This window comes from Homo sapiens, chromosome 17 (genome assembly GCF_000001405.40).
Source record: "Homo sapiens chromosome 17, GRCh38.p14 Primary Assembly".
NCBI classification, from domain to species: Eukaryota; Metazoa; Chordata; class Mammalia; order Primates; family Hominidae; genus Homo; species Homo sapiens.
Window position 1 is genome coordinate 74,626,130 of NC_000017.11, and position 10,325 is coordinate 74,636,454.

The following is a 10,325-nucleotide window of genomic DNA, read 5'->3' on the forward strand; positions in this document are numbered from 1 at the left end:
TCTGGTTCCAAACTGAAGTCAAATCCAATAAAAGGAAATTCCAGGTATTAGAAATGTAAAGGGAACTAAAAGCCAGGTCTGTGAGCAGGATCTGATACCAAGAGGCTAATGGGGACCAGTCAAAATGAATTTGGGCCTTAGGAGGAGAGGGGCTGCTGTTTAAATAGCCACTCAGGGACAGAAGACAATGTCTCAGGTCTACACAAGACAGGGAGTGGGAGCAGAGCCCCCTGCCAAAAGCTAGGATCCATGAATGGTCATTACGCCCATGGAACAGGATGAGGGGAGACCCCATTGATGGGCTCATGGGAGTATCAAGGCATCTCCACTCCCTGTAGTTATAAGGAGTTACCTTCCATGAGAACAAGCACCTAAGTTGCACTACACAGGGGTGTGAGATCCAAAGTACAACTTCCCATCGTGTGGGAGTGTGGACAAGGACGTCAATATAAAACAGGTTGGCAAATGATGAGACTTGTAGGGCCATGGAAGAGATGAACACACACCAAAACCACACCTCCAGTTCACCTTGTGTTTTTATACACCCCATGAGCTAATGATCATTTTCACATTATTAATGGTGGGAATTTTTTTTTTAATTCATGACACATGAAAATTGTCTGAAACTAAAATTTCAGTGTACATAAATAAGTTTTACTGGAATACAGCTACACATGTTCATTTATGTATTATCTATGGCAGCTTTCATGCTACAACAGCAGAGTTTGTTACAGGACCAACGAGTTCATATGCCCATTGCACTGGAACAAACCAATACACCAAGACAACAGGGTTTGCAGCAGAGAAAGAGTTTAATGATCACAGGGTAACCAAGCAAGGAGTTGGGAGGGACCCTCAAATCCATCTCCCTGAGAAGTTCTGGGCTGGGACTTTTAAGGGGATTGTAGAGGGCAAGTAACTGGAAAATTGGGATCATTGATTGGTCAAGGTAGGATGGATGAAATCATCATGATCTGGAAACAGCCTTCTTTGGTGAATCAGCTTCTCTTGGATTCCTCTAGACCAGCTGGCATCAGTAGTTTCACTGGTATACAAGACCTGGTAAAAATATCTCAAATGGAAAACTTAATGTCTCACAATGCTTAAGATGTTACCTATGGTACAATTAAGGGGGACTATAGTCTTACAACCGGGTCTGTGTGATTCTGGGGGAATAGGCAGCAAATATGAAGAAGCAGGACAGAGAGCAGGCTGACCTCATGATTAATGCCAAATGTGCTGCAAGCTTGGTTTATTTTCATTTCTCCCCTTCCCTTCTTCCCTGATTAATTTTATAAAATTTATAGGAACAATTCCAAGTTGAGTAGTTGTGACAGAGACCGCAGAGCCCAAAAAACCTAAAATCTGTACTGGCTGGCCCTGGCAAAAGGAGTTTGCCATTCTCTGGCGTTGACGATGGACCCCTCCCCACTTGCAACCAGCAATCGTTCCCACTGGCAATTGGAAGCAGAATCCTGAAAGCAGAGCACTCTTGGGCTAGTCTTCTTGAGGGTAACAGAAGCTACTTTAGGTGGTGTGAGGATTTACCAGGGCAGAGACAACCTAGAGAGTGATCTTAGGCCAGATGGAGGGTCCAGGTAGAGTCTAGCTCAGCCCTGGTGAAGATACAGATGCTCCCGCCTGGCCCCATCTGCCTCATTTGGCAGCCCCACAAGTTGGCACTCTTCTGCTTTCCACTTAGTGCAGCCCCATAGGACCCCAGAAGAAGCAGGTAGCTTTCACCTGAGGACTTCCCCTGGCCCTCTAAGCAGCAGTTCCTACCTGCTCCTCCAGCCACACATGGGATTTCCTACAAGACAACTCCATTCCCTGCCCCTGCTTTAATCCTGCTGTGCCCCATCCCCTCAAAACACCTCCACCCTGACTCCACCGACACCTCAAACTCAGCCTGATGAACATCTAACCCTTCTCTCTCGCTGACCTCCCCAACAACTACTAGAACAACAGCAACGTGCTTCTCTTCCTTGACTCCCCGGACTGCCCCAGCCCAGAACATTCACCTCCTGCTCTTCAGGCTGTCACTAAAGCTGCTGCCCGTGGAACTGCACAGAGCTCAGGAAATTTCCTCCTCCATAGATAAGAGAAGTGAGCAAATTAAAAGATGATTCTTACTAGCTTTAAGGTTACTTCTGATATGATTAGAATAGTAGAGGATTATAAAAGGGAGAAGTTCATAAAGAAAGAGGGCAGCGATGTGCTATATTAATGTATATAGAAAAGATGCTCCTAAATTAATCAATTTATAAAGACAGAGTATATTTCTGCCAAGAATGGGAAAAGTCTTCTGTTTCTCAAGGACATAAGCTGGAGGAGGCTGCACCCTTCAGGAACCTTCTTAGCACTGTCTTAATTATTAAACACATACTCATGCAATTCTAATCCTTTAAACAACCCTGTGAGGTAGAACTTCTATTATCCCCATGTTTCAGAGGAGGAAACTGAGGCACAGAGGGGCCAATCAACCTGCTGAAGGCCTTATGACCCATTAGTGGTGAGCCACTCTATGATGGCGTTCATATGAAGCTAGGATTGGAGGGCCCAGGTTGCCTGGCTCCAGGATCTGTGTCCTTATCTCCCACTACCCAGCTGCTTGTAGTAAATTAATGCAGAAACAAGGCACAAGAGGTCATGATGGTTGCTCTGAGAGAATTAAACAGAGTGATATGGCCAAGAACCACCCAGGACGGTCTGAGAAGCCTCTGAGAAGGTGACGTTCAGAATGAGACTGTGCTGGCATTCAGAAGAGTGCACCAGATGCAAAAGAAGAGGAGGCAAGGCCGGGCATGGTGGCTCCCACCTATAATCCCAGCACTTTGGGAGGCTGAGGCAGGCAGATCACCTGAGGTTAGGGGTTTGAGACCAGCCTGGCCAACATGGTGAAACCCCATCTCTACTAAAAATACAAAATTTAGCCTGGTGGTAGCACACGCCTGTAATCCCAGCTACTAGGGAGGCTGAAGCAGGAGAATTGCTTGAACCTGGGAGGCCAAGGTTGCAGTGAGCCAAGATCACACCACTGTACTCCAGCATGAGCGACAGAGTGAGACTCTGTTGAAGAAGAAGGAGAAGGAGAGGAAGAGGAAGAGGAAGAAGAAGAAGAAGAAGAAGAAGAAGAAGAAGAAGAAGAAGAAGAGGAGGAAGAAGAAGGACGAGGAGAAGAAGAAGTGGTGGGGAGGGGGAGGGGGGAGGGGAGGGGGAGGGGAGGGGAAGAAGGAAGGTAGTAGTAGTCAGGAGAGTGAAATCAGGAGCACCTAGTGATGCAGGAGGAAAACCAGGAGAGTCTGGGCTGTAGACTGAATGCTTATGTCCCCCCAGTTTCATACATTGAAACCCTAATCCCCAAGGTGGCGGTATTTGGAGTTGGGGCCTTTGGGATATGATTAGGCCATAAGGGTGGGGCTCGCATGAATAAAATTAGTGCCCTTATAAGAAGAGACACAAGCCAGGTGCAGTGGTGCAAGCCTGTAGTCTCAGCTACTCAGGAGACTGAGCGGGGAGGATCACTAGAGGCCAGGCGTTTGAGGCTGCAGTGTGCTATGATAGTGCCTGTTAATAATCACCACACTTCAGCCTAGGCAGCATAGTGAAGCCTGTCTCTTAAATTTTTTTTTAATTAAAAAAAATCATAGAATCATAGAAGAGATACAGGAGAGCTTGCTTTCTCTCTCCCTTTCTCTGCCATGTGTAGATAAAGAAAGAAGGCAGCCATCTATAAGCCAGGAAGACAGCCCTTACCAGGAACTGATTCAGCCAGCATCTTGATCTTGAACTTCCAGCCACCAGAACTGGGAGAAATGAATTTCTTTTGTGTGAGCCACCCAATCTGTGGTATCTTTGTTATAGCAGCCTGAGCTGACTGAGATAGTCTGAAAGCAAAGAAAGGAGAAAGAAGGGAGGAAGAAGTGCTCAGCCGAGTCAAGGGCTGCTGAGGTCAAGTAAGATGCAGAAAGAGAAGATGCATTTGGATTTGACTGACAGTAAGGTTGTTGGTTCCCTCGTCAAGGGCATGTCTGTAGAGTGGTGAGCAGAGAAGACAGGTGGGCTTGACTACAGAGTAAATGACAGATGAGGAAACAGAGTCAGAAAATGCAGATGGTGGCCGGGCGCGGTGGCTCATGCCTGGAATCCCAGCACTTTGGGAGGCCAAGTCGGGTGGATCACTTGAGGTCAGGAGTTCGAGACCAACCTGGCCAACATGGCGAAACCCCGTCTCTACTAAAAATACAAAAATTCCCTGGGCGGTAGTGGCGTGTGCCTGTAATCTCAACTACTCAGGAGACTGAGGAGGAGAATCACGCGAGCCTGGGAGGTGGAGGTTTGCAGTGAGCCAAGATCACGCCACTTTACTCCAGTCCAGGTTAGAGAGCGAAACCGTGTATTAGAAAAAAAAAAAGAAAGAAAGAAAGAAAAAAGAAAAGAAGAAAAAAGAAAGTACAGACACTGTTTTATAAGAGGCTCTGAGAAGGAAAGTGGAGAGAGAGGAAACAACAGCTGGAGAGGGCTGGGGACAAAGGGGAGCGTTTGTTTAATCAAAGTCCTCCAGTATGCTGAGAGGTGAGTAGGCAGATCTTCTGGAAAACCTGTCCTGGTTGATGGGCAGATATCTCCAGGACATCATTGTGTGCTCACAGAACTTGAAATCCAAGCACAAAGATGGAGTTAATTACAACAAACTAAAATTACTCGGGTGTGGAAAAAAAAGACAACAACACTGAAAAAACTGAAACAAAATTACCAAAAACATCAAGAGCTTACACAGATCAAAATGAAAAATATTCAAACTAAAAGAAAAATTGGCAAACACCATCAACCTACAATTCTCAAAAGAAGAAATACAGATGGCTGACATTCAGAAGAAAAAGCACTTAATCTCACTGAAAATCAACCACATGGATATACTAAAACAACAAAATTATAAATTTTTCCAGATTAGCCAAGAGGTTTTCTAAGGTAATGCTCAGTAAAGGCAGGCAACAGAGTGGTGGAATCCGTATGCTGTCTATAGGTGATGTAGTGCTCTAATTCTGCAAAGCAATTTAGCAGTAAGTGACAAGAACTCTAAAAATGGGCTTTCTCTTCGCCCAGTAATTCCACTTTTCATATTCTATTCTAAGAAAAAAAAAATGAAAATGTGAACACATAGTAGTAAAAAATTTAAGAGACCGTAATTATCCAACAAAAAGAAACTATCTAACTATTGGGCCGGGCGCAGTGGCTCAAACCTATAATCCCAGCACTTTGGGAGGCCAAAGTGGGTGGACTGCTTGGGACCAGGAGTTCGAGACCAGCCTGGCCAACATGGCAAAACCCTATCTCTACTAAAAATATCAGCCTGGTGTGGTGGCACACACCTGTCATCCCAGCTACTTGGGAGGCTGAGGCAGGAGAATCACTGGAATCCAGGAAATGGAGGTTTTAGTGAGCTGAGATCGTGCCACTGCACTCCAGCCTGGAAGACACAGCGAGACTCTGCCAAAAAATAAAATAAAATAAAATAAAATAAAATAAAATAAAATAAAATAAAATAAAATAAAATAAAAATAAAAAACCCTCTTGAGAGACAATCAAGATAAAGTTCTACAAACTGAAATTACCAGATGAAAAGTTGCATTTTGAAAAATGAGAGAAATAGGTGGGATTTGACTAAAACATTAGAGATGAAGAATAATGTGAGTGAAATCTTTGAGAATGCGATGACCAAGGAGAGAATTTTCCCAGGTCCAGCGTAGCGCTTGAAAAAACACAAGCAAGCTTTAAGAAGCAACTGCCAGAAAAACAGAAACTGAGAGAGATTCTGAAATCCAGGCACTCGTGTGGGGAGATTGCAGAAGTTGGTGGTATGGCTGAAAGAAAATGAGGAAGCTTTGAAATGTGATTCAGTGGCTTCCTGCTGTAAAATCTTCACTGTCTCCTCTTAGCTGTGATCAAATCCAGACCCCAGCATGATTCACACAGCCCTGCAGGACCCAGCCTCCTTCCATCCTCCCGGCTCACACTTTTGCTCCAGCCATTCCAAAGCACAGTATTTCTAATTTCCCAAATAGCAGCTGCTCCCTCGAGCCAGCACGCCTGCATATATGGTGTTTGTCAAAGCCCTTCCAGCCTCCCACCTGCCTTCCTTGATACCTGGAGCCCCTACACATCCTTCAAAATGCCGATAAAGCTTCCCTGCAAAGCCAGCTCTGGCAGAGTCGAGCTGCTGCCTCTGTGCGGCACAGTACCTGGGTTGCATCATTCTGTCTTACGCCCCTCTCCCAGCATTCTTTTCCGGGTGAATCTGCCTTCACTGTTGCTTTGTGTAGGGCACCACAGGTGCGGTGGGTTGAGTTAATGTGCCCAAGCAAAGTCCTGTCTCATATCATTTCTCTGTTTAGTCCTTTCTATCTCATTTCCCATTTCCAATCCCCGGCATCCGTACACTTGTGTGATTGTCAGGTATACATGCTGGCTTCGTAGGAGTGTGTTTAAGTTTACATAACTGGCTGGGCGCAGTGGCTCACAGAGGCTGAGGAGGGAGGATCCCTTGATTCCAGGAGTTCAAGACCAGCCTGGGCAACATAGTGAGACCCGATCTCTACAAAAAAAATTTAAAAATTAGCCACGCATAGTGGCACACGCCCATGTTCCCAGCTACTCAGGAGGCTGAGGCAGAAGGATTGCTCAGGCCCAGGAGTTTGAGGATGGAGTGAGCCATGATTGCACCACTGCGTTTCAGCCTGGGCAAAAAGAATTTATGTAACCAGCTTTATGCCATCGATCTCATTCTGGTTTTAGCTTTTTCACTCAGCACTGGATTTTTTTTTTTTTTTTTTTTTTTTTGACGTTATCTCGTCCTGTGGCCCAGGCTGGAGTGAAATGGTGCGATCTCAGCTCACTGCAGCCTCTGCCTCCCAGATTCAAGCAATTCTGCTGTCTCAGCCTCCCAAGTAGCTGGGACTACAGGTGCACACCACCATGCCCAGTCAATTTTTGTATTTTTAGTAGAGACTAGGTTTCACCATATTAGTCAGGCTGGTCTCAAACTTCTGACCTCAGGTGATCCATCCGCCTCAGCTTCCCAAAGTGCTGGGATTACAGGTGTAAGCCATTATGCCAGGCCTCAGCACTGGGTTTTTAAGCCCCATCCACGTTACCATGGGGCCGTAGAGTTTGTTGACTAGAACTGGAGCTTGTATACTACAGGAGGTGCCGGGTTTACTTGTCGGCCCCTCCCCCATGTTGCACACCTGGGCTGCCCCCAGCTCCCTGCTCCCCAGACAGCACAGCACTGAGCATGCTCTAGCCTGGCCTCTGAGGGCCTGCATGAGAGTTTTTCTGGGCTCTGCCTGCCTCAGCAGGATTGCTGAGTCCCAAGGTAAACACACACTTAGCCTGACAGATTTCTCTCCAAAAAGGCCACGCTTGGCTTGTGAGCGTTCTTTCGTGACCAGAGCCTACAATCACAACCTGTTTCATGAAGCAGAGCAGGCTTTTCGCAAACTGCTCCCGAAGTGCAGTCTCCCTTTGATCCTGGCATGAGTGTGTTGGGTCAGGTGAAAATGCAGTAAGTCCTCGGGCCTTCCTGAGAGTCCCCAGTCTAAACCCTTGAGTCCAGATTAAGGCCAAGCCAGGATCCTCGGTTTGACTCAACAGCAAGAGCTGGAGCCATCTTCCCCACATTCCACTGCGTGGCCAGCAATGACTTCTTGCTGTCAACACAACACTGACGGTTGTGGGGGAGAAGGGGCCCTGAGGACTCCCAGCCACCCCCAATTCAGACTCCAGGCTTCTTCCTGCAATAGCTCCTTTTGAGGACCAGCTGCGCTCTTCACTTAAAGTATTTTGCGGCCGGACGCGGTGGCTCATGCCTGTAATCCCAGCACTTTGGGAGGCCGAGGAGGGTGGATCACCTGAGGTCAGGAGTTCGAGATCACCCCAGCCAACATGATGAAACCCCATCTCTACCAAAAATACAAAAAATTAGCTGGGCGTGATGGCAGAGGCCTGTAGTCCCAGCTACTCAGGAGACTGAGGTGTGAGAATTGCTTGAACTCAGGAGGCAGAGGTTGCAGTGAGTCAAGATCATGCCACTGCACTCCAGCCTGGGCCCAGAGTGAGACTGTGTCTAAGAAAAAAAAAAAAAAAAAGAAGAGATCTTAAACAATATAGGGTCTGGATAGATAGTGCTGTGACAAGCAACCCTAACATCTCAGTAGCTTAACACAATAAAGGTGTATTTCTCAGTCAGATCATAGACAAAGGAAAGTCAGGCAGATCTCTAGGTGGCAACTGGAGGACCTGGGCCCTTCCATCAGCGTCATCACCTTCATGCTGGTTTCTATGGTCACCATGGAGCATGTAAGAAATTGCACAGGTATCTAAGGCCAGGCCCAGAGTTGGGTACCAGACTTCCACCACATCCAGGGGAACCAGACACTGAGGCTGTCTGGTGGGACGTCACAGAAACAATGTGAGCCCTTGTATGCCTGGCCCTTAAAACCATCCCATGCACTTAACGTTTCCACGAAGATGAAGTAGACAGACTTTTCCCTATCCCTCCCACCAAGTAGAACTAAGCCCTGATCTTGGGTATAAAACAAGCATGAGGGCCAGGCATGGTAGCTCACACCTGTAATCCCAGCACTTTGGGAGGCCGAGGCGGGTGGATCACCTGAGGTCAGGAGTTCGAGACCAGCCTGGTCAACATGGCAAAACCCTGTCTCTACTAAAAATACAAAAAATTAGCTGGGTATGCATAGTGGCGGGCACCTGTAATCCCAGCTATTTGGGAGGCTGAGGCAGGAGAATTGCTTGAACCTGGGAGGTGGAGGTTGCAGTGAGCCAAGATCTCACCATTGCATTCCAGCCTGGGTGATGGAGCAAGACTCCATCTCGAAAAATAAAAAATAAAAATAAAACAAGCATGAGAAGGGACTGAAAGGTGGACAGACAGTAGGGTCCACGGAACAATGTAGCAATGAGTTATCTGGGTTTTCTCTTTCCTTTATGTATCCCAGACTTGGAGACAGCCCTGATGGAGAGGCCACCAATGCAGAAACAATAACAGGCACAGAAAAACAACAACAAAAGCTGTCCCTCTCTCTCTAGAAAAAAAAAAAAAAAACAGGGAACGAGCAACCCAGCAATAGAGAAGAACTTAGACAATGACTCCTCTACCCTACAGAACACCCCAGAAAAAATGATGGCCCCACCGCCCAGGCCAGCAAAGGCAGAGTGGGAGCTTAGACATCCACCTCCACCCAGCTGTAACCAGGCACCCAATCCCCCTGCCAGGTGCTGTCAGGGAAGGCTGGGTAGGGAACCTGGACTTCCACCCCCACTCAGCAGTGAGAAGCCCAACTCCCTCCCGCGGGGGTGGCCTCAACCAGGCCACATGGGGAGTAGTGAGAAAGAAAAGGGACTTTTTATCTGAGGAATGCGAGCCCTTTTAAATGGGCAGACTCAGAGAGGCATTCAGATGTGACAGCAGTCACGTCTCACTCCCCACTTGAGCGAAATAATTGTCTCTGGAAGCCACCTGCGATGCAGGCCCTAGACGAACGGACACCACATAGCCATGAACACCGTAAACACCACGCACTGGACGCCATAACTCACACCTGAGCTCAACAATGCACTGCCAGTCACCGACCGATGTGATTTCTGTGAACTAGTAAGAATTCACATCAGACAACTCCAGACTGTCAGCCCCCTCCTTGCTTCCTTTTGCCTTTCAAAACTTGCTTGTAGGCCAGGAGCGGTGGCTTACGCCTGGAATCCCAGCACTTTGGGAGGCTGAGGTGGGTAATAATTTGAGGGCAGGAATTCAATACCAGCCTGCCCATCATGGTGAAACCCTGTCTCTACCAAAAATACAATAATTAGCTGGGCGTGGTGGTGCACACCTGTAATCCCAGCTACTCAGGAGACTGAAGCAGGAGAATCACTTGAATCTGGGAGGCAGAGGTTGCGGTGAGCCGAGTCCACACCACTGTACTCCAGCCTGGGCGATAGAGCAAGATTCTGTCTCCAAAAAAAAAAAAAAAACCTGCTTGTAACAAAAGCCAAGCAGACCACTCCCAAAGGCAACTTGGAAGTGCGTCTCCGACAGCTGTCCTCACTTCAACTGAAATTAACTCTTTAAAATTGTATTTTGTGCCTCAGCTTCTTCCTGTAGGTCTTTTGACCCCTCTTGGCCAGGGGCACATCAATGGAGGCCCAGTAGAAGCCGGAATTCACATCCTCACCCACTGGGGTCCATGAAGCCCCACTTGCAAGCCCGTCTCAACGCTGGGCTACGCCACCCTTCTGTATATTCCCATGGT

The 10,325-nt window shown here is 47.4% G+C and overlaps 3 annotated features.

Moving 5' to 3' along the window:
• Positions 5,554-6,054: an enhancer, noted in NCBI's record as "H3K27ac hESC enhancer chr17:72627822-72628322 (GRCh37/hg19 assembly coordinates)". NCBI's record gives its function as "activates a minimal SCP1, AML or CMV promoter by ChIP-STARR-seq in primed H9 embryonic stem cells {active_cell/tissue: H9 hESC(primed)}" and the evidence as "EXISTENCE:reporter gene assay evidence [ECO:0000049][PMID:30033119]".
• Positions 6,055-6,555: an enhancer, noted in NCBI's record as "H3K27ac hESC enhancer chr17:72628323-72628823 (GRCh37/hg19 assembly coordinates)". NCBI's record gives its function as "activates a minimal SCP1, AML or CMV promoter by ChIP-STARR-seq in primed H9 embryonic stem cells {active_cell/tissue: H9 hESC(primed)}" and the evidence as "EXISTENCE:reporter gene assay evidence [ECO:0000049][PMID:30033119]".
• Positions 9,281-9,330: an enhancer, noted in NCBI's record as "active region_12714". NCBI's record gives its function as "activates an Ori minimal core promoter by ATAC-STARR-seq in GM12878 lymphoblastoid cells {active_cell/tissue: GM12878}" and the evidence as "EXISTENCE:reporter gene assay evidence [ECO:0000049][PMID:35858748]".